Raw genomic sequence first — 24,930 nt, forward strand, 5'->3', positions numbered from 1 at the left:
ACAATATGAAGTCTTCTAATCCATGAACATAGATGCCTTTCCATTTCTTTGTATCTTCTTTCTTTTCACCATGTTTTGTAGTTTTCAGTGTAGTGCAGTGGTGCGATCATGGCTTATCCACTGCACCCTCAACCTTCTGGGCTCAAGCGATCCTCCAACCTCAGCCTCCTGAGCAGCTGGGACCACTGGTGCCCACCACCATGCCCAGCTACTTTGTATTGTTGGTAGAGATGGGGTTTTCTGTGTTGCCCAGGCTGGTCTCAAATTCGAGATCTCAAGAGATCCACCCACCTGGGCCTTCCAATATTGCAGGGATTATAGGCATGAGCCACCATGCCTGGCCTGAACTCATTTTTTAGTCCTAGTAGTTTTTCAGTGGATTCCTTATGATTTTCTATATACATGATCATACTATATACAAGATCTATTTACATGTGCAAAGAAACAACATTTTAATTCCTCCTTTTAGAGTTGAATGCCTTTTATTTTATTTTTTTCTTACTTAATAGTTCTGGCTAGAACCTTTAGTCCAATGTTAAGTAGAAGTGGCAGTTGTGAGCATTTTTGTCTTGTTCCTGATCTAACAAAAAAAGTTGTTTTTTTGTTTTTTGTTTTTTGTTTTTTTTTACCATTAACTGTGCTATTAGCTATGGGTTTCTTCATAGGTTCACTTTGTCAAAAAGTTCTCTGCTATTCCTACTTTGTCAGTGTTTTTATCATGAAAGATTGTTCAATTTTGTCAAAGGTTTTTCCTGCCTCTATTGAGGTGATCATATGGTTTTTGTCCTTTATCCTATTCATTTGTCATGTTACGTTAATTGATTTTTGGTTGTTAAACCAACCTTGCATTCCTAGGATAAATCCCACTTGGGTAATGTGTATAATCCTTTTTGTATGTTGCTGGGTTAGGTTTACAAAAGTATTTTACTGAGAATTGGATCCATTATTTCTAAGTACAGGCTAAAACGATATGCCCTCAAATAGGATGGTTTCGGTACCCTCTGGCATCATGCCCTAGGAGGATTGAGACTTCTAGTATTTCATTGTGAAGTGTAGAGCATGGTAGATTGGATACAATACATTTTTGATGAATATATGAATGAGTCAACAAATAGTCTCAATAAGCAGCCTGACTGCTTTAAACCAATGATTATATGAATGAGAGGTATGTATTTTTTATATTCTTTTTTTAGTCCAAGAATTACATTACTCTGGCTCTATTGTCTGAAGGGTGGTATCTGAATCTAGTAATTATTTCTTCTAGTTTTTTCCAACCCCACCCCATTTTCACGGTGCCACAGATCAGCACTTGGCTGCTTCTCCTCAATCCTTGGGTTGAAAGGGCAGACAATGCCACTGTCCCCATTTTTAAGAGACAAGAGAACAAGTAAATAAAGTGTGCAGGATCACACCTATGTTGTGATAGAACCTGTATTCATCTGTGTCTCTGGGTTTCCAAGTTTTGTTCAGGGCCCTGTATTTGTCTTGTCCAGAATATTTATCCATTTCCTTGTAAACCAGGCACAGGAAGAGGTCCTAAAGGCAAAAGCTGATGGAGTTTGTTTTCTTTATTCCATAATATATACATGGTAGGAAGTCAAACATTACAAGATGGTTTGGGATAAAAATGAATTTACTCCCTCCCAGAATCCTCCAGTCCCACTTTTCATCTATAACCCAGCATGAACAGTTTTTTTCATTCCACACAGTTTTCATTCATAGATATATCTTTATCAGCAGTCAAACAAGACATACTATACTTACTGCTCTATACTTTGAATTTTTCGTGTAATATAACTTGAAAATACTTCCAACTTGTTCTCTTTAATTCTATAAATGAACACTATTATAGTATGTGGATATATGAAAACTTCCTTTAAAAGAATCCTGTTGTATTTTAATATTGTTCCTGGGTTCTTTGCATATGTATATGCTCTTATGAACAATACTGAAATGAACATCCATATCTATGACCTCTCTCTGCACTCCAGGCTCAAATATGCAACTCCCTATTTGACAGGTCTGCTTGAAAACTTGCTGGGCATCCCAGAGGTAACATGGATCTAATGGAAGGTTTGATTTTGTCCTCCAAGCCAGTTCTTCCCTTGACTTTCTACATTTCACCAAATGATACCCCAACCACTCACTTATTCTAGCCCAAGATCTAGGAGTTATTCTTAGGTTTTCCTTTCCCCCTCCACATGGATCCATCAGCAGGTCTTGTTCTTTTTTCTTCCCAAATATATCTCAAGTCCATGCTCTTCTGTCTGTCCCTACTGCCACTATCCAAGCTCTGAGGCCATCCATTACATGGACAACTATAAACTACATGTCCTAATGACATATTAGCAGTAGAGTTGCTAGGTCAAAAGATTTGTGTGTTTTATTTTGATAGACTTTGCTACATTATTCTCAAAGAGGCTTTCTCAGTGTTATCTGCTTATTATATGAGAATTTCTGTTTCTGTACTCTGTCACCACCACTGAATATCAGGGTCACTCTTAGCCCATAGCCTCGTGAGAATTAGAAGTCACTTCCTCTGGGTGAGGCAGCTAGCTCCACAGCACAGACTTAACAAGTGGAACTTTAGCATGTATTTAATTCCCACTCATTCTCTTACCTATGTGTCCTTCTGCAGTCAACACTCTACACAACTGTACATGACCACAATGCTGTGCATAAATAATTTTTTAGACTCTTTGTAAATCTATATGTAAAAAATGGCATCTTATTTTGATTATGAGTGATGTAGGACATTTATATTTCTTTTTCTTTGAATTGCCTATTTATAGACTTTCCTTATTTTTATGGTTTCTTACAAATTTGTATATTCAGGAGATTAACCTAATGTCTATCATATATTTTAACATTAAAAATTTTTTTCTTGTACCTTAAGTTTGTTTATAGTACTTTTTTATAGAAACCTTTAAATTTTTAAGTCAAGTTGATTAGTCGTTTTCTTTCTTACAGACTAGGGCTATTTCAAAAATGCTTTCCTCTGCTATTTTTCTCATGTTTTGAATATTTGATCTCTGTAATTTATTCTAGCTTAAGATGAATAGATTTAATAGTATAAAATTTTTAAACTTTTACATGGCCAAAAAAAATTAACATCAGAAAGTTGAAAAGGAAAATCATAAAGTTGAAAGAAATATTTAATTATATATGGAAAATAATAGTTAATATCATTAATGTAGTAAGACCTCTTAAAAGTCAGTAACAAAAAGATAAGCAACCACATAGGAAAACAAGTAAACAACATGAACAGGCATTTTCCAAAATACCTAATGGTTACAATTGTGAACTCACTATGGGCCAGGAACTACTCTAAGTGCTTTACTTGAATTAACTTTTTAAAACTTATGACGTTCATCCGGGGTAACTAATATTAATATCCCCATTTTATAAATGAGGAAAACCAAAGTACGAGAGCTAAGAAACTTGCCTATGTTACCTGACCAAAGAAGAACATAAGTGATCACTTGGTAAATGAAATAAGGTTTAAGCAATTAAATGAAAAAAAAAAAAAAAAAGGGATGCAACTGATCACCTATGAGTTTAGCAAAGATTAAAATGAGTAATTCCCAAAAGACAATTGTTTTGTGGTAATTTAAATTGGTACAACTTATCAGAAAAGCAGTTTGGCAATATATATTAAGTCATAAAATGTGCACTTAGGCCGGGCGTGGTGGCTCACACCTGTAATCCCAGCACTTTGGGAAGCCAAGGCAGGTGGATCACCTGGGGTCAGGAGTTTGAGACTAGTCTGAACAAAATGGTGAAACCCCGTCTCTATTAAAAATATAGAAATTAGCCAGGTGTGGTGGCGGGCGCCCGTAATCTCAGCTACTTGAGAGGCTGAGACAGGAGAATTGCTTGAACTCGGGAGGCGAAGGTTGTAGTGAGCCAAGATTGCACCATTGTACTCCAGCCTGGACGACAGAGTGAGATTCTGTCTCAAAAAAAAAAAAAAAAGTGCACTTAGACTACACTTAGACCCAGTAGTTCTGCTCATAGAAGTATATTGTAAAAGAAATAATTAATTGCTCATAAAAACAATTTTTACAAAAGCCAAAAATTGGAATTAACTTAATAGTCAAGCATCAAGAGACTTGTTGAATTGATTGAGATAGACATGTGGTAGAATAAGCCATTTAAAAATGATGTAAAAATATTTTTAAAAGGCAATTTTTATGATAAATAACATCAACATGTGAAAAGGCAGGTTATGAAGTAATATGATTCCATTTTTAAAATATGTAAAGAAAAATTTATATGTACACACACATAGAGGAGAGGAACTTCATTCTTTTTTTTTTTTTTTTTTTTTTTTGAGACAGAGTCTCGCTCTTTTACCTAGGCTGGAGTGCAGTGGCATGATCTCGGCTCACTGCAACCTCCACCTTCTGGTTTCAAGTGATTCTCCTGCCTCAGCCTCCCAGGTAGCTGGAATTACAGGCGTGAGCCACCATGCCCAGCTAATTTTTGTATTTTAATAGAGATGAGATTTCATCATGTTGGCCAGGCTCGTCTCGAACTCCTGACCTCGTGATCCACCTGCCTCGGCCTCCCAAAGTGCTGGGATTACAGGTGTGAGCCACTGCGCCCACCCAGGAACTTCATTCTTGAAGAGTTAGTGTGACAGTCATGGCTTTCCCCTGCTTTGGACATGATCGAACCCAAGGTTTCCATATCCACTGTCCACCTGGACCTTGACCGTAATTAAAGTCATGAGCTCACCTGCAACTGTACTAGCTTTTCTCCAGCTGCGTGGATTCTGAGCTTTAAGCTCAGTGGCTGGTTTTCAGCTACTTTTTTTTCCTTTGTCAGTGATGAAAATGAAAACATTGGTCCCAATATAGCCACCTTCTTTTTAGGTTTAATTGTTTTTTTAGTCTGTTCGATAATAATGTGAATGTCTCTTACTTTGAGAGAAAGAATGTGAGCAAAATTTCAACATCACCTACTTCTCTTTGGTCCATAGCTCATCAGATTTGGTCAGTGACTAATATCCCAAATATTTTAATTTTATTTTTAGCAGTCTGAAATAGAAAATAATAAATTTATTTTATTTTTAGCAGTCTGAAAACATAATGACTAATGAGCAAGTCACACGTCACCTCTTGCCTTCTTAATGCAGTGGGGAAGGAAACAAGAATTGTAAGAATTGGTCTTACAATTAAGCCTATTTAATTTGAATAGAGGGAAAATTCCAACATCTTTTCTTTGGGGACTTTACTGTAGCAGGTTAACTGCTAGTCTCTATTCTTGGGAGAAAATATTAATATTTAGTGAAGACTCAACTGATGCAAAAGTGATATTAAGGATAGAAATAGTCTTAAGAAAATAAACACTTCTTGTTTCCTCCCCACAAAAGCAGGGGAACAAAAACCAAAACTACAGAAATGCGGAAAGGAATGGGCAAATCACATTACTTGCTAAAAGGTCGGTCTAACCATTATCATTTATATTTATAAACCATCCCTCCATTTATTTTCATTTCAAGGGGCTGGATGTTTTTATTCACATCAACCTTCTGGCAAGTAAAACACTGCAGCCCTTAACACTAAGGAAATTTGGCTGCCAAGGAAGGACTGAAGTGCTATTTTGCTTAAGAATATCCTGGAAAGCTGTGCTGGTATGTGCTTGGCAGGTATAGTCCTACAAATCAGCCTGTTTTATGAGGGGATATTAAGAAGGAGAAGAGTGGCACCTTCATGCAGCAAACAGTTCCTAAATTAAAGTTATTATGTGTAAGGTGTTATGCTAAGCAAGGTGGGAAGTTTCAAAGATAAATCCTACACAGACCCTGCCCACAAAGCGTCCAGTCTAGAAGATGCTTAGTGAAAATGTGCAGAAATGAGAGTGGAAGGGAAGGGATATGTAGAGAATTGTAGGACTAGATCAGGAGGCAAAACACATAATGGGGACAAGAATTCAGGCTCTGAAAAGGAAAGGGGTGGAAGGCAATACTGAAAGCCACAGGCAATGGGAACCACTGACGCTTTTTTTTTTTTAAATCAAACCAGAGAAATGATTATTGCTTTGCCTCCGGAGATGAGTTGGCCTGCCGCATGCAGTATAGATTTCATGGGGAGAGACTGAAAGTGGGACCAAGAAGTAGGCTGGAATAATCCAGCAAGGTGAAGTGGATGCCTGATCTGGGGTGAGGGGTGGGTAGAGAAATGGGAGTAGGGTCTCACCCAACTCTCAACTCCCAGAGTTACCCAGTTTGTGTCTGCAACTCTGACCTTTCTCTGCACTGCAGGCTCAAATGTGCAACTCCCTATTTGACAGGTCTGCTTGAAAACTTGTGGGCATCCCAGAGGTAACATAAGTCTATACAGAAGGTTTGATTTTGTCCTCCAAGCCAGTTCTTCCCTTGACTTTCTACATTTCACCAAATGATACCCCAACCACTCACTTATTCTAGCCCAAGATCTAGGAGTTATTCTTAAGTTTTCCTTTCCCCCTCCATATGGATCCATCAGCAGGTCTTGTCCTTTTCTCTTCCCAAATATATCTCAAGTCCATGCTCTTCCGTCTGTCCCTACTGCCACCGTCCAAGCTCTGGGGCCATCCATTACATGGACAACTGCAGTAGATTCCAGCTGCTCTCCTGCTTCTGTTCCCACCCTTCTGCAATTCATTTTCCACAGAACAGCTAAAGTAATTTCTTAAAGCATAAATCATGTCACTCACTCACTCAAAACCTTCCTGTCCTCCCACTGCACTTGGAATGAAATCCAGATTGCATAGTATGGCCCTCGAGGCTCTACATGAGCCTATATGATCCCTGCCCACCTCTCTGACCTCATCTTCCATCACTTTGCTCTGGTCCCCTCACTGCCTTTTTCAGTCCTCAAACAAGCCTGGATCAGTCCCACCCATGGACCTTGGCCGTTGCTGCACCCTGTTTGAGACACTCTTCCCTTCGCTCTTCGCCAAGCTGACTCCTTGTTTCGGCTGGATCCTTGTGCTTCATAGAGACCTTCCCTGCCTACCCCTCTCCAGAATAACCCACCCAGGTCCCACCCACAGCTCTCTGTGCCTTCACTGCACTTAGCACTCAGATGATCTTGTTTGTTTGTTTTATTCATTGTCTCTCTTTTCTAGAACATAAGCTCCATGATCTAAAAGACGTTATCTGTCTTGTTCACCAATGTCTCTTCTTATTCCTAGGTATATGCCTGACACCAAAACTATTTGTCAAATAAATGAATAGCTCTGTTTGGCCAGGTCATACATTAGTAGAGTAGTGGGAACTGAGTAGAAAGTTCAGGGGCATCTAAGAAATGTGGAGTTGTTTAAACTGATTCTTTAATTCTCCAGTCTCTAAATAGCATGCTCTTTGCTACCTATTGATTGATTTTTCAGCATGACACATTATCTACTGAGCTCACAGTATGGAAACCGAACACGTAGTTCTCTTTTTTACCCTACCCCAACCCCTGCCTCTCCCCATTTCAGAATCATACATTTCCTATTATTTCCCATTTTCCCATTTTCTCATCTTCTCAAGTCTTTTTTTTTTTTTTGAGATGGAGTGTCGCTCTGTTGCCCAGGCTGGAGTGCAGTGGCCTGATTTCAGCTCACTGCAACCTCCGGCTCCTGGGTTCAAGTGATTCTCCTGCCTCAGCCTCCCGATTAGCTGGGATTACAGGCACCTGCCACCACGCCCGGCTAATTTTTGTATTTTTAGTAGCGACAGGGTTTCGCCAGGCTGGTCTTGGCAATCTGGTCTTGAACTTCTGAACTCAGGTGATACACCCACCTCAGCTCCCAAAATGCTGGGATTACCCGTGTGAGCCACTGTGCCCAGCCCCAACATTCTTATATTGTGTTTTTGATTTTATCAGTCATCCATGTAATAGCAGAAATGCCAACGATAGCTAAGGCTTGTGGTAAACCACGATTTCTTTTTCTCTCCTGCATACCTTTTGTTTTTCCTACTGGTGTTTTTGTTAGCTTGCTAAGTGTCCTACATACCATCCCCACACTTTCTCTTGTTATGTATTTAACGAATCGCTTCTCAATATGTTCAAATACTCGAGTTATTCTTACAGGTTCATCTTTAAGAGCTTCATACATAGCCTTTGTCCTCTTCCCATGTGGACTGGATTTTCTCTGAGCCCACTGTCCAGCTGTTGTCTTGGGATCTCTCTTCATCACACCAGGGGGATTCCTTCCACTTTCCTCTTGCATTGAATCTTCAGATTGCTGGATCCCATGCCCCCTTTTTTTTTCTGGGTCTATTTCCTTATTTTGGCAGAGCACACAGGGTGCTTCTTGAGAAAAGCTCACGGGGTGTATGGTTTTTGAGTCTTTGTATTAGAACGTGGCTTTATTCTGGCTTCATGCTTGGTCGAGAGCTTGGCTGGGACATAAGGTAGCAAAGCAGACTTGCTGCAGTATGCACAAACACTGCCATCCCTCCCAATTAATCAGGATGAACGTTTTCCTTTTATCTGGAAGACTTAGTTTTTCTCTTTAGCAGATAGCTTTTAACTGATTTCAAAAGACTTTCTTGGGTGATGGTCACACAAGATCTCAACTTTGACCTGGCTTGTTGCAATGGTCTAAAAAATATTTTATGGACGTTTAAAAGTTTTGTGGTACATAGACTAATTTAAAAATGTGTTTACTGTGATAATAATGTGCTGGCATTTTTTAAGAAGACTCACATTTAAGATCTACATTGAATAATTGTGGTATTCCTGTATTTTTCTGTGTTTTTATTTTAGGGATGCGTCATCTTTATGGGATGCTCGTTCTGATAGGATCCTGGGGGTATTACAAACTACCATTGATATTTCACAAAAGTGCCCAATTGTGAAACTCACCTAGTGTGCAAAATACTGATTGCTGGGTCCCATATTATAGGTCAGCAAAATCAAAGTCTTTTGGAGAGGGGTCTCAGAGTCTGTGTTCTCAACAAACATTCCAGAGGATTCCTAAGGTGAGAAACATCTTCTGGAAAACAAATTATAGGTTAGTGGTACTGTACAGATGGTCCTCAACTTATGATGGGATTACATCTTGATAAGCCCATCATAAAGTAAACAAAAATAGTAAGTCAAACCATGGTAAGTCAGGGACCTTCTGTATTTAAATTAAAAAAAAAAAATTCTCATTTGAATCTTTATGTGTGTCTTTCTCTTTACTTGAGGCAAAAGTTACAAAATATCCAGTTCAGAGACTCAGATGTTCTGTACACAAATGCCGGGATGAATTGGGTCATTCATATTTACTGTTCATGAGCAAATATTCCTATTGTCAAGTAGAATGTTGAGATTCTGATGGAATATTATTGCCAGAAACCTGTTTGCTTTTATGTACATTTTGTTAATATTATAAGCAGCAAAATGATGCATTTCCCACAACAACTAGGTTTGAAGTAAATATATAGTTACATTCGAAGGCAAGGAAGTTATCAGCAGAATGCCAATTACTGTTTAGGAAAAGACCACAGAATTTCAACTCGTTGCCTTTTCAAGAAGACCTCTGTGAACTTCATCTGGGGTTGCTGCATACTAATTACTTAACCCAAAACCAAAGTCAAAGAACAGGGCACTAGATGAAAATAGCTGTTTAATAATGAGAAGGAAGAACTATAAGAAAGATTTTTGTAAAATACATTTCTGAAAAGGAGGCTGAGCCCTTTTCCCTTTTAGAACTGTAGGCGGCAAATTCTGAAAATTCCAAAAGGAAGCAATCATTTATTTAAGACTTCTGTTCATGCATTCTGTCTTGGATAATGTTTGGCTTTTTATTTTCGCCTCTGTTTGTACTTCAGGCATCCTTTCCTTTCAATTGTGTGCCTATTTGCAGCCCATTGCCCACTGTGAAGTAAATTCCATTCAGTCTTAATTGGGGTCTCTTAAAAGCTTTTTCTAAAGAATTTTTCAGCCTCCCTATGGAAGGCCACTGTTCGTTGCCTAAGGTGTTTCAGGGTGTGCTGAGCATTCCCTCTGACCTTCCTTCTTGTATAAAGATGTTTCTGACAACAGCTGGGTGGCTCACAGGACTGGGGAGGGCAGTCTAAAGGGATGATTCAGGATTGCACTGATCAATTTCATCTATTATAAAGGGATTTTGTGTTTTTCAAAATTTCTTCTGCATCTGTAAAGTTAGCTTGTGTTGACCTGCCAACCTGTTTATGAAAGAGCCGGGTGAGAATGGAAACTTGGAATAAACCAGAACAAGTTAACTGAGCTCATGCCGTGGGTTCCTGTTGGCCTGACTGCGCTGTTTCATTTTCCTAAAGGCCTCTAAACCAGAATTGTATACATCTAATGTTCTGTCGCTTGGAAAGTACTTGACTGCCAATTTTTTAAAGAAAACATGAAAAGAATAAAATCAAACATGAGATTTTTAGAAGAATTTAGAACTGTACACTTTTAAAAAACTGAATCCCCTTCAGTCATCCAACCACAGAATGTCAGAACACACGTATACCTCATTTTCCAAACAAGAATGTTTTAATTTAGGAAGCCATTATAAAGTAATCATAGCAAAATCCTTCAAAGAACTTTTCTTTTTCCTTCTTTCAAGTGGGCTGAGGTGGAGGTGAGGTTGAAAGCTGTGTGACATTTTCACTTTACCTTCGACATGTTAATAAATAACTTTGCAGATAATAGTAAATGTCTGTACAGTATTCGTCTGCTAAGGCTGTCGTAACACCATACCACAGACTGAGTGGCTGCAACAACAGAAATGTATTTCCTCACTGTTCTGGAGGCTAGAGGTCTAAGATCAAGGTGTCAGCAGGGTTAGCTTCTGCTCAGAGCCTCTGTCTTTAACTTGTAGATGTCTGCCTTCCCTCTGTGTCCTCATATGGTCCATCCTCTGTGCCCACACACATCTGTGCTCAAATATTTTCCTCTTATAAGAACCCCATTGGAGTAGGGCCCACCCATATGACCTCATTTTACCTTAATTTTACTTTTTTAAAGGACCTGTATTCAAATATGGTCCCATGTTGAGGTACTGGGAGTTAAGACTTTAACGTATGAATTTTGAGGGACACAATTCAGCCCATAGTAGTGTCCTTTTTTTGTTTTTGTTTTGTTTTTATTTTTTTGAGACGGAGTCTTACTCCATCACCCAGGCTGGAGTGCAGTGGTGTGATCTTGGCTCACTGCAACCTCCACTTCCCAGGTTCCAGCGGTTCTCCTGCCTCAGCCTCCCAAGTAGCTGGGACTACAGGCACGCACCACCACACCTGGCTAATTTTTGTATTTTTAGTAGAGACGGGGTTTCGCCCTGTTGGCCAGGCTGGTCTCGAAATCCTGACCTCAGGTGATCCACCTGCCTTGGCCTCCCAAAGTGCTGGGATTACAGGCATGAGCCACCGTGCCCAGCCCCTTTTTTCTGTATTTTTTAAATAGGCCATTTAAGGACTTTAAGCAATGTCCCTAAAACCAATGTACAAACCAGGACTTATTAGCAATGTCCCAAAGCACACTGCATCCATTGTCTTTTTTCTGATTTTTGAGTTTCATTTCTTAACCAATTAAGGCCTCTTCCCCACTCACCTCAACAGTGCCATATTCATATTACTTGAGTAAGAGGAGGCATTGAAGGTGATTTTCAGCAATGGAAATTAACCAGTGTGACTAGGCAGTACACTTAGGAAGTAAAGCATAGGCTGTAGAGCATATGGGGTAAATTTAGAAAATGGAATATGTGTTCATGACCAGCCTGGGCAATGTGGCGAAACCCGTCTATACAAAGAACAGAAAAAATTATGTGGGTGTGGTGGTGTGCACCTCTAGTCCCAGATACCCAAGAGTCCAAGATGGGAGGATCACCCGAACCCAGGAGATCAAGCCTGTGGTGATCCTTGATCACACCACTGCACTCCAGCCTGGGTGACAGACAGAGTGAGACCCTATCTTAAAGAAAAAGAAGGAAGGAGGGAAAGAAGGAAGGGAGGGAAGAAGGAAGGAAAGAAGGAAGGAAGGAAGGAAGGAAGGCCTGCGACAGGGAGTGGGGAGGGAAGGAAGGAGGGAGGGAGGGAGGAAAGGAAGGAGGAAGAAGTAGAAGGAGGAAGGAAAAAAGGAAGGAAGGGAGGGAAAGGAAAGGAAGGAAGAAAAAAGGAAATAAATAAAGAAAGAAATGGAATATGTGACATTATGTTTCTGCCATTGTGTAAGAAATCAATACCAGTATCTTGTGATTGGAGCACCAAATTGATCGAGTAATGTTCAGGAAAGAAACCCCCAAACTACTTATCAAGATCCTAATCCCAGTGTGGTCAGTAACTAATGTGGCCACCTGACTGGTTTTATAATCTTCTTTGAGGGCCCTGAATGTGAAGCCCTGTATTTGGAGAAATGTTTTGTTCTCAAATGTCACTACATATATAGTCTTCCTTTTCTGTGTTTGGTTTTGCTGGCTCTGTATGCTTTCATTGTCTTAGATGTGTTTGAAATCCGCAGGGTGACATGTCTCTTTTCAAAGAGCTGCTAAAATAAGAAAGAAAATGAATAAGCGTGTTAAAGAAAGATGGTGTTTAAACACCTGTCAAAGTAAAGTCAGAACAAGAATGTTCTTGCCAGAAAACGCAGAGCCCCATTGAGACAGGTTGGTAATTCGAAGATGATTCATTACGACTAACTGCATTTGTATTCTAGCCCATATGCATTGTAAACCACCTAGCAGGCTTCCAATGATGTCTTCCTATCAATTCGTAAATCTCACAGGAAACTTTTAACTGGTGCAGTCAGTTTTGGTGGACTGCTTATCTTGTCAACGTGAAGATAATGCTTCAACAGCACACCCACCTCCTCTAGGTTCAAAATTCCTTATTTTATTGAAAAAGGTCCCTCAAGCTGGTTAAGCACACAAATAAGAATTGGGTGCATCAGAATCTAGTGACCCTAGGTCCTTTTGTAAAATGATTAAAACTCTCCTTAAACCTCAGAAATTATTTAATTTTATAGGCATCTCTTGGACCAGGAATTGCCTTGAGATGGCGAGATACAAGCATTCTACAAAGGCTGCAAACAAGACTCACTTCTCTTAGGCCCTGATCCGAATCCAGATTATGATGGATTGGGCATGGGGATCAGGGCATGCAGAAGCTCTTAGCCAAACCTCTACACCCTTTAGTTGTGACTCTGTCATTGTAGACTTTTAAGGCATCTTGCAGATTAGAATATGCTGAGCACTCAATCTGAGGAAGGTTAAAAGTCATAGAATATTGGTGTTCTTCCAAGTTGAGAACAGAACACTTGGATCCAAGACCCTATTTCAGATTCAACATTCAATACCCTAAGGCATAAAAATGGCGTCTTACTATAGACAGTGGAAATAACTGATAAGGATTTAATTAATTGCTTGTGGTTTTGCAGTGCCAGTCCAGGTTTATTTTCATTGCTGGGCACTGCAGTCCTAGAGGCAAAGGGAATGAGCATAAGGTTCCTGCTAGATCTTTAAAAGGGAAGGGCAGAATAAACAGAGGGCCCTTTGATAATGATTTCTTAGCCAGTCCAGTGGATAACATGAGTCTCATAATCAAGAATCCTCTGGGACTTTGTCATCTACATTGAATTTATAGGTGGTCTTTACTTAAAATATCTGAAGTTAATGGAATCATAAAACAGATCTTTCTTTTCTCTTTAGATTGTGACATTAGGCACATGTGGAAACAACAGTAAAATGCAACTTCCTGTGTTTAGCAGCCGTAGCAACACATCTTATACGGTGCAGGATTTTTAAAAACCAAAAGGAACAACAATTTGTATCTGACTAAATAGCGCCTAATCAGTTTCACCTTGATTTACTAAGCGTTGTATTAATCAAGTAAGCAACTGGCCTTTTCTATAAAATAGTTTTATGTTTGTTGGTTTGATTTTTAAAATTTTTTATTTTTTGCAGGTGCAAGCATAAAAATAAAAAATTCGCAATTTCCCAGCTGGTAGGAAATAGAGCCACGTCCAACTCTTAGCTCCTCTCTCATTCTTGTATATGATGTCAACCTTCTTGCTTAGTTTCTTTCCTTAATCCAGGGCATTTCTGCTATAGAGTAGTGGGGATTTCCCTCGAGTCTTAGTTGGTTTTAGCAGCTCCCAGCAATTATCTTGAGACCAACGGAGAATGCAGGTAACTGTTTTGGGTGGGTATACAGGAGTTTATTTATTTCAGGGGGCATTTTTGTTTTCCTGGAGACCTCTAGAAGACCAGGAAAATATTTTTCCAAGAAATTTTGCTGCCCCAATTGCTCCAAATCATAAATAACCCACTCTCCATTTTTATTCCCCACAAAACCTCTTATCAGCCTTTTTCCACTTGCTTACATGTATTATCTCTATTAACAGTAGCCACAACCCAAATCATGAATTGTATTACCCCATTCTACAGATGAGGAAGGGACTCTGAAAGGTTGAATTACAGACCTAAGGTTACCAGCTAGGATGGGGAGGAACAGATTATTACATTCAGATCTTTCTGGCACTGGAAGCCCATGTTTTTCCTTTGCAGTACTCACAGGTCTGTGTTTATATTTAAATGGCTATTTCCTATTTTTTAAGCATACGCAAAGTCATATCAGGGTGACACATAGCTAAAGAGTTAAACAAAACAAACCATTTTCTTCTCTGGAAGCTTTAGTGTGGAAATACCTAAGTGTCAGCCCTCTCTCCACTTGTGTTTGCTCCCCTTAGGGTACTGTTCTAACAGGAGATATTTGCTTCACAGTGGAAAGGTGAGATAGGAGAGGTGGTGTGTTCTGTTTAAATTGGAATAAAAACTTGTTGCTGGCTGCCAGTCTTAAAGAATGATTCCTCGTCATTGAACATGTTACATTGTAGAGTCAGATGTTTGCCACCACAACACTGGGCTATTATGCAAGGTAGTTCTACCTTGTAGTTCCGATATATTTAGTTAATTGAAAGCCTAAAATATTGCCACATAACTGAACATCTGTCATAATGCTATATTATCAAAGAATTTAATTTCAGATTAAAATGGTTTTATAGTTTTCTATATTGTTCCACTGTTTTCTAAGAGATTCACATTCTCGTGTGTGATGCCTAAAGAGAATGGAAAAAACAAAAGCAGTTTGGATTTAGTTCCAATTTAGTTAGGTAACTTATTTTCTTGTTTCTTTGCCATGGAACAAAATTGCTTTTCTGGCTTCCCCAATTAGGAGAAAGAAGGTTAAGACTGAAGAAAAATCTGAGATGAGAAAGAAGGAAATGTTAACAAAGAGAGTGCTCTTGAAGAAATTAATTTTCACCACTCATCACCGGGTGAAAATAGAAACTTCTTAAAAGACAATTTCACATATAAATTATTCCAGCTGTTTTTCAATTATTTGTCTTTGATGAATTGTCTTTCAATTACCTTGTAAAGAGCAATTAAGTGTTTGCTTACCTGAAAACTGTGTCAGCAATGTCTGTACCATTCTTATGAGTGTTAATCATCCTTCCTGCTGGCTCTGATATTTTCCCAATTTCAAACATTAGTGTTTGTTATATTATCTTTCAAAATATTTGGAATTCTACAGGAAGGCACTGTTGGAAACAATTTCCTCTGTGAAAAATCTAAAGACCTGCTAAAATAAATCATAGCCTAGGCCTTGTAAATTATTGCCCCACATTTACCCATGACTTATTCTTTTTGTAAATATTTTTAGGGACCTTTTTGTGGCCTAAGTACAGTATAGGGGCACCACCAGGAATAAAATCAACTTGCTCCCTGTCCTCATGGGACTCCTAATCTAGTGGTGAGAAGTATTATTTTTTCTTGCTTCTCAGAGAGGTAGTCTTTTTTTTAACCTACTCACTTAATAACAACAACAATTAAAAATCATTTTTATGGTTTCTGAAAACATTGGTGAATTGCAACTGGCTATTCTGAGGTTCTGTTACGGGCTTTTTCCCATCATTCTAGAACATGTTCAATGTTTCTTCAGACCAGTATTGAAAATCTAAATAAAAATTATATTAGAAAAGGATTTTGGAATAAGCTAGTTGGTTTGATGGTGCTCTAATTGGATTCAGAGGCTTTCTGTGTGTGTTTTATCCAAATCCTGCTGGAGCAACTCATTCTCTGGAATGCTTGCTTAACACACCTGTCATTTTAAAGAAAGAAACCAAAATAGAACATCTCGCAAGTGGGGCATCCTCAATAACTATGTTAGAAAAAGTATAAAATCAATGCTAAAGGCATCATTATTATAAAATTATTTTTTTAAAAAGCAACTAGTGGAATTGTTTCTCTCAAGAGAATTAGGTGTACAAACCAAGGAATGTTAATCTTTTGCTTTTCAGTGGCTTTTAAATGGTTTCCTGTTTAATTTGCATAGGATATTTCTACCTTTTAGGCAATGCTATGAAACTAGACTAAACCTCTGTAGCCCTCAAACAATTTTACCCTGAATTTTAACTCATAATTTGGAGGCCATCTTGTGCTATGTCTGCCGTGGGAACTAATGCCACAGTACCACCGTGTGAGCCTCTGGGGTCCCCCACATTTCCTACTCACTACACACTGCAGGTCTACGTTTGGGTGGATGGTTGTTTGACTAATGTCAGCCTCTCTCATGGCCTGCAAGCCTCCTAAGGGCAGAGATCTGATCTGTTTTTGCTTACCATTGTAGCCCTTCCTCTATAATAGCTGCTCAGTTAATTGTGCATGAATGTTTCCGTTCCACAGTGAACACACTTTTCTACAGCCTCATTATTTTTGCAGATATCTCCTTCCTCCTCTCCCTTGGATTGTCCGAACCCTGGGTCTCCTTGGCAACACTGTTGCCCTGGTAATTCTCTTCAATGGTGGCTCTGTTGTCCTTTACCTCTCCTATCACAGGGGGCGCTGACATTGCATCAACTCCCCAGTGCTATTCCCTGCTCATTTTGCGTCCAGTCTTGTGCATGCCCTCATCTGAGGTAGGTGCCGTCTGCTGAGTTTTCCTTCACATTTCTTTGGTGCTGTCATCTCCTGACTTCCTGGTCATTTCCTCATATTCACTGGATGAAGTTCAGACTCTCCCTCTCCACCCCAAATCTCGCTATGACCTGAAGGAATTCAGTCCCCATGCAGTCCCCGTGTGGCTGGTCTGACATCCTGGCTGGTGCAGCTCTGCAGCCCTTCTTCTTTCTTGCATCTTCAACACCCCGACACCCAGGGCTCCTTCTCCTCAGCCCATGAACCTGCTTGAGTGTCCTTCACACTTTATGAACTTAAAACAAACAGCAAACAAAACCTTTTTCTTTACTTGTTCATTCTCAATGCCAAAGGAGTTCAACGTTCTTTATTGTGCAAAGCCCACTTGCTCCTAAATGTAATCATTCTCTAGGAGTTTACCCCTGGTCCTCAACAGCTGCTTTTGTTTAGAAGACTCCACCAAATAACTTCAACTCCAGCTTCTTGCTAGAGTGCCAGTAATGCATTTCTGACTGTCCGTTGGACATCTTCCCTTGAATGTTCTGCCAGCACCTGAAGTTCATGGTGCCTGAATACAAGCTAAAGGTCTCTCCTCCAAATCTTCTCTCTTCTTGACATCCAGCCATACCCTTGTAGAGGTTCAGGCCATGGAGTTCTCAGGCAGTTCCTCAGACTCCTCTCTTCTTTCTCCTCAGTGTCCCTCAGATCATCCATCATTTCCAGTCCCTTTTCGCTCCTTCTCTCCAAGTTCAGATGCCTGGGTTGCTGCAGTCATCTCTTAACTGAGCTATAAGGACGTAAATCTGGGAGCCTTGGGGACTCCGTATGACTAATTGACATAAATTCTTCTCCATGGGATGGATCTCCCAGCATCCTGTTTTCCATAGTACATGCCTGCAGGTTTCATGTCTGCCTTGGGGAGATTGTCCGGGATACTACATGTGGCCACGGTCTCTCCACAGATACCGGCCTTGGGGACCCTGTATGACTGCCAGGAGGCTCTTGGACATAGAGAGAACGTTAGTCACATTATATATATTCTCTGGGCTTTTATTTATCCACCAGCCTTTCGACTTAAATATATTGGTCTAGATTTAATGTGTTATTTTAATAATATTTGTGTTACATTCATCCTCAATGGGAATTTTTTCATAATTTTGTCTGAAACAAAATTTAGCCCCTTACTTAAAAACTGTGATATTTCAGCCAGGCGCGGTGGCTCATGCCTGTAAACCAAACACTTTGGGAGGCTGAGGTGGGCGGATCACTTGAGCTTAGGAGTTTGAGACTGGCCTGGCCAACATGGTGAAACCGCGTCTCTACTAAAAATACAGAAATTAGCAAGGCATGGTGGCATGCACCTGTAATCCCAGCTACTCGGGAGGCTGAGGCAAGAGAATCACTTGGACCCAGGAGCCGGAGGTTGCAGTGAGCTGAGATCTCACCACTGCACTCCATCTGGGTGACAGAACGAGACTCCATTGATTGGGGGCAGTGGGGAGGGGGGGCGAGAGGAGAACTGTGATATTTCAGTATATTTTATTTCACAAATTATATATAAGGTCTACCAGCTTCTCCCCTAAAGTTCTGTGCTGACGCACATTCCCAGCATGAACAGGGTGATCATTATCCTATCATGGATGAGTTGAAATTCTTTCACTTGGCAGATTGTCCATTGGGGATATATCAGCTTTTTCTTCCTTTTCACAAACACAGCACACACTCTACACACCATGACCTGCTCCACTTCAGACTCCGGGAGTTGTTGTATATGACTAACATCTACGGGGAACAAGATAGGTTGTTGGTTGATTCCTGTCACGTTTTTCCTCTCTGTAGCGACATCTTGCTATTCCTAAGCAGTCATCCTATCTGTTCATAGAGACAACCCTTCCCTTGTAGCGATAACAGTGGCATTCAAAACGTAAAATGCTTTTATTTACATTAAAATTGATTTTTCCATTAGCAAAGTGGCCCTTTGCCTACTCAATCAGAATTTCTGTAAACCCCAAATAAGAGCGACTTTATTTAATCTGTTAAATATCCTGTAGCAAGTCTAGGGGATGTTGTTCATGTCAGTGAATCAGGATGTCATGCAGCTGCACAAACATATTCGTTCTGCAGGCCTGTTGGCCACAAGTTTAAACTCTGGAATTCTCTGTCAGTGCTTGCAGGCAGATGGAAGTCTTTAGTAGCTTTTCCCTCTGGGAGTTTAAAAATAATGTCTGCCTCTGTTAAAAAAACAAGTTTAAAAATTGATAGTATCAAACTTCTAAAATTAATATTATGATAAATAAGGATTCTGTACAATCAAATTACTTTAGTCAGTATAAAGTATAGAGTACACTGCCTGCCGCCAGCGTGAAATTAACCGTGATGACACTGGGCATTGTTTTAGACAGCAAAACAGTACCTACCCTAACTCCTTGGATTAGCCCAATAAGTGGCTGGGAGTTGAATTGAGTTACTACTCATTAGGGTTTATCTCTTGCCTTATCTTAAAATAAAAATCCACTCCCACCCACTACCCTCCTCCCCATTTTTGTACAGGGAATACTTGGGAGGTAAACTCCCTGAGTTTAAATCCTGCTTACCAGCTGTGGGATCTTGCTAGTTGCTTGGTCTCTCAGCCTCAACTTCCTCATCTATAAAATGGGAATACTAATAGCAACTACTTCGCAGGGTTGTAGTAATGATGAAAGAGGCAGTATTGATAAAGCACTTAGAACAGGTCCTTTTTTTAGCATAATAAAATATCAAGTAATAGAATAGGTCTTAATGTGACCTACAAGACTGATACACTCAGCACAAAGCAATATGAAGTCATAGAATTTTTAAAGTTGGAAAGGAGCCTAGAGATCATTTAACCTAGTCTCCTAATTTCAGCAATGAAAAATTGGGATCCTAGCACAAGGTCACAGGGCTGATTAAGTAGCAGAGTTGGAACTAGGCTCCAACTCTCTTCTTGGCTTACAGTTTACCATCCCAGTTGGGTGGTCAAAACCCAGAACAATAACACAGATTTATTGCTTGTCCTGATTGTGCAATGTCTTCTTTGCTTTTTTTTTTTTTTTTTTTTTTGAGAAGGGATTGCAGTGGCATGATCTTGGCTCACTGCAACCTCCGCCTTCCTGGTTCAAGCGATCCTCCTGCCTCAGCCTCCAGAGTAGCTGGGACTACAGGTGCGCACCACGACAGCTAGCTAATTTTTTGTATTTTTAGTAGAGATGAGGTTTCACCATGTTGGCCGGGATGGTCTCGATCTCTTGACCTTGTGATCTGCCCGCCTCGTCCTCCCAAAGTGCTGGGATTACAGGCGTGAGCCACGGCACCCAGCCTGCTTTTTTGTTTTTTACAAATAGTCTTACTGCTATTTTAGAGCTACTAGGAGTGTTGCTGGTTCACCATGAGTTTAGCTATCATATGCCAATGGAGACAGCCTGGTATAGTGGGAAATAAGCCTGGATCAGGAATCAGGTGACCTAGACTCTTATCTCTTTCACTAGTTAACAATTTGGGAAGCCAGATAGCCTTCCTGGCTCCCAGTTTCCTTATATATAGGGCTTTAATATATAGCATAATGTGAAAGTACTAAACATGATAGTTGTCCCATGGTGGATAACACTGTAACCCAGTGCTTTTATAAATTACATTGCTCAGAACTACTGAGTGCTCTAATATGCATTGTAAGAATATATATACAACTTTTTTTTTTTTTTTTTTTTTTTTTTACAGAAAATAAACTACTGCTCTACCTTTAATCTTGCTTCGGTGAAATTCTAATTTATCATGGCTTCAGGGCAACATCAAAAGATGGTAGAGAAGTAGATTAGCTTTCCCAGAAACCAAGTAAGGGAAAAAAGTTTATAGATGAATCTCACAGACATTCAGTGAAAGAAATACAAAAGATTATATTGTGTAATTCCACTAAGTTAAAGTTCAAGAAGTGATAAAACAGGCCAGGGCACAGTGGCTAACACCTGTAATCCCAGCACTTTGGGAGGCCCAGGCAGGTGGATCACTTGAGTCCAGGAGTTTGAGACCAGCCTGGACAACATGGTAAAACCCTGTCTCTACAAAAAATTACTAAAAAAAAAAAAAAAAAAAAAGAACAGGTAACACAAATCAATGCTGCTGGAAGTCAAAATAGTGGTTATCTGGGGGAATAGAGGTGAGAGGGTGGTATTGATTTGGAAGAAGCATAAGGAGGATTTCTGGGGCTTTGGAATGATTGACACTTTGGTCTGAATGTGATTGTGAGTGCAATATCATTTACATTCTGTCTGTATGCCTCGAAAAAATCTTTTTGGAAAATCTCCATAGTATTAATTTTAATGACTGTGGGAACAACTGATCTTATCCCAACTGCCTTTAGATAACTTTGTAGTTTCTTTCAAGTGATGGGGGAATGGAAATTGGCAAATTGGGAGGCATGTATGAATAGCAGGGTTACGAGCAATCTTCCTCCAGAGCGACTAAAATCCTTTCAATACATTCTAATATAGTAATGTTTTCACATTCTGTTCTTTTTCTTTAAATTTAATTTCTTGCTTACATTCTGTTCTTTTACTCTTAGGGATTTAAAAAGATGATGGCAAAATAATTTTTCAAATACTTTTGCCATGATTATTACCTTAATGCCGATTATTTTTAAAGGAACCATCAGCTGATAAAAAGCAATTTTCTTCTGAGCCAAGATCTTTTCTAACTCTAAAATTCTATTATTTTCAGATTTTTAAGTGAGGGAATACATTTATATATAGAAAGTTCAAAAATAATCTAAAATTTTAGATTATTTAGATATTTAGATCGTTTCTTTAAAAATTTTTACATTTAACCATTTCACATGTTCAAGGACATGACTATAAATTTGTTTTAATTTTTTCCCATAAATATGTATCATATGTCTCTGATGAACACAGTACTGATAATGAGAAAATTTTTCTTGGCATTACTTTAAAAGGTCAGCCAGCCTTGATTTATTCACTTCATGGTAAGTCCATCATGGGTGTGTGTGTGTGTGTGTCTGTGTGTGTGTGTGTGTGTGTGTGTGTGGTGGAGGGATGTTTGGAATCTCTTCTTTGTGTATTGTTTACACAGTAACTGTGGATGTATACCTCCTGATGCGTGCTGGAGCTGGGCCCATTGTCTACCATTTTGCAAGGTGTTGAATACTACTTACCTTATCTGGATCCATCATGTGCTAAAAAGTGTTGAAACAGCCATTTAAATGTTCTCTTACTTATAGAATACTGGGAATGGAAGTATTAGTAAAGGGAGAATTTTGGAGAGAAAGATGGCCAAGTCTGAAGTATATTACTTTCCAAAACTCTTTCAGCTGAAATCTTTACTGTTGGTAAAAGACAGTAGGCACCGAGGCCCCTTCGAGCGGACTTCCTCACTCCTAAGAAAAAAATCTTTATCCTCATTTACCTCCATGATAGCGAATGCCACATTTTAAAATATAAACTTGATTTTAGAATAGTTTTAGATTCGCAGAAAAGCTGAAAAAATGGTACAGAGAGATCTTATATCAGCATGATACATTTGTTACAACCAAGGAACAAACACTGATACTATTCCTGTTAACTAAACTCTACAGTTCATTAGGATTTCAGTAGTTTTTCCCTAATGTCGTCTTTTTTTTGTTCCAGGATGCATTCAGGATGCCATGTTACATGTAGCAGTGGTGTCTCCTTAGGCTTCTCTGGTCTGACAGTTTCTCAGACCTTCCTTGTTTTGAATGACCTTGGCAGTTTTGTTTTTGTTTTTGTCTTTGAGATGGGATCTCGCTCAGTTGCCCAGGCTGGAGTGCAGTGGCGCGATCTCGGCTCACTGCAACCTCTGCCTCCTGGGTTCAAGGATCCTCCTGCCTCAGCCTCCCGAGTAGCGGGACTACACACACGCTCCACCATGCCCGGATAATGTTTTGCATTTTTAGTAGAGACAGGGTTTCACTGTGTTAGCCAGATGGTCTCCATCTCCTGACCTTGTGATCTGCCTGCCTCGGCCTCCCAAATTGCTGGGATTACAGGCGTGAGCCACCGCGCCCGGCCTTGTTTTATTTTTGAGACAAGTCTCGCTCTGTAGCCCAGGCTGGAGTAAAGTGGCGCGATCTTGGCTCACTGCAGCCTCCACTTGCTGAGTTCAAGTGATTCTCCTGCCTCAGCCTCCCAAGTAGCTGAGATTACAAGCGCCTGCTACAAAGTCTGGCTAATTTTTGCATTTTTTTTTTTTTTTTTTTGAGACGGAGTCTTGCTCTGTAGCCCAGGCTGGAGTGCAGTGGCGCAATCTTGGTTCACTGCAAGCTCTGCCTCCCGGGTTCACGCCATTCTCCTGCCTCAGCCTCCCGAGTAGCTGGGACTACAGGCGCCCGCCACTGCGCCCAGCCAATTTTTTGTATTTTTAGTAGAGATGGGGTTTCACCATGTTAGCCAAGATGGTCTCGATCTCCTGACCTCGCGTGATCTGCCCACCTCAGCCTTCCAAAGTGCTGGGATTACAGGCATGAGCCACCGTGCCTGGCCAGACCTTGAAAATTTTGAGATGTACTGGTCAGGTATTTTAGAAATGTTTCTCAATTTAGTTTTGCCTGATGTTTCCCTTGTAGTTACTACAGGGTTGTGGGTTTTGAAGTACCATTCTCCTTATATCATATCAAGAGTACATACTGTCAGCACAGCTTATCACTGGTGATGTGAACCTCGATCCCTGGCTAAGGTCCTGTTTGTCAGCATCTTCACCGTAAAGCCACCCCTTTCTCCTCTCTTTCCATACTGCACTCTTTGGAAGGAAGTCACTATGGATAGCCCACATTTAAGCAGTTAGGAGTTAAGCTCCACTTTCTTGAGAGAGGGTTATGTATATAAATTATTTGGAGTTCTGTAAGGACTTACCTCTTCTCCCACATTCATTTATTCATTCAATATTTATCTATATGAGTATGGATTTGTGGATGTTTATTTTATACTTTGGGTTATAATCTAATACTATAATTTTACTTTGTTGCTGAGATTATTCCAGCTTTGGCCTTTGGAAACTCTTGAGTGGGCTCCTCTGTCCCTTTAACCTACCTCCTCCCATCAGTTTGCTTTTTGAGCACTTTCTGGGACTACAAGATGTTGCAGGGCTCATCTGGTGTTTTCCATGCCCCAGCTCTTGAAGCAGCCTTTTCTGTAAGGAGGTGGTGCTTGCCTATTGGAGAATGCTATTAGAAACCAAGATCTGTGCGTTGGGCGTGCTCATTGCTACTGGGGTGTTACTGCTTCTAGGCCTTCTGAGAGGACAGAGCTAGCAAATACATGTGTGTAAGCAAACCCATGCATATATACATGTCTATAATTCATTTACTTATCTATCTGTCTACCTGGGCAAACACGGGTTCATGCAGATGTCTCCAACTCTCATCAGGGCTGCATGGATCATTCTAGCTTTACTCTCTCGCTTATCTGTAACTTCTCTCTCCAGTAGTGAGAAACCTGGCTTCCACCATCTGCCACTCCCGTACTTCCTTGTTTGATCCCAATATACATGTTCAGCAGTTTCAGAATTTTTAACCTGCACCCCGTGTGATGCCACACATTTTGATTCTTCTGTTCATTTTCTCTTCTCCATTTGCCATTTATCTTACCCTTAAAAGGAAGATATTTGACCCAATCTGCTGTAAACTCTGATTAGCAAGAGAGTAAGGAACTCCTTTAGACAACGGAAGGCAAGGATAGCCACTTGGCTGCCTTAGAAACCATGATCCAAGCTCATCTGTGATGGCTTATACCATCACTTCACCCTGACCTCATCACTGGCTTATACCATCAGTTCACCCTAACCAGTAGTGGGTAGCTTCTGTGCCCAGATGTTGTACATCCGCCCTTGTTTAATGATAGCATGTATCTTAAGTTATTGTTTCAATTGAGAGAGAGAAAGAGACCTCATGTAAATGTAGGTAATAAAGTTAAATCTTCCCTAAGCACTGTTCTAATTTTTCTTTGCCATATGTTCTGTGGCTTTTAAAGGGGAAAGTGACAGAATTATAAT

The 24,930-nt window shown here is 40.0% G+C and overlaps 1 protein-coding gene across 8 annotated transcripts in view, besides 1 other annotated feature; it reads left to right on the plus strand.

The window, feature by feature from the left end:
- Positions 1-24,930, plus strand: part of PHACTR2 (phosphatase and actin regulator 2) — a 294,308-nt gene that overhangs the window by 145,295 nt on the left and 124,083 nt on the right. The gene's annotated exons all lie outside the window — the stretch shown is intronic.
- Positions 24,186-24,386: a silencer, noted in NCBI's record as "peak6179 fragment used in MPRA reporter construct". NCBI's record gives its function as "represses an SCP1 promoter by STARR-seq MPRAs in K562 erythroleukemia cells {active_cell/tissue: K562}" and the evidence as "EXISTENCE:reporter gene assay evidence [ECO:0000049][PMID:32103011]".

The sequence above is a fragment of the Homo sapiens genome, chromosome 6, assembly GCF_000001405.40.
Source record: "Homo sapiens chromosome 6, GRCh38.p14 Primary Assembly".
Taxonomy (NCBI): Eukaryota; Metazoa; Chordata; class Mammalia; order Primates; family Hominidae; genus Homo; species Homo sapiens.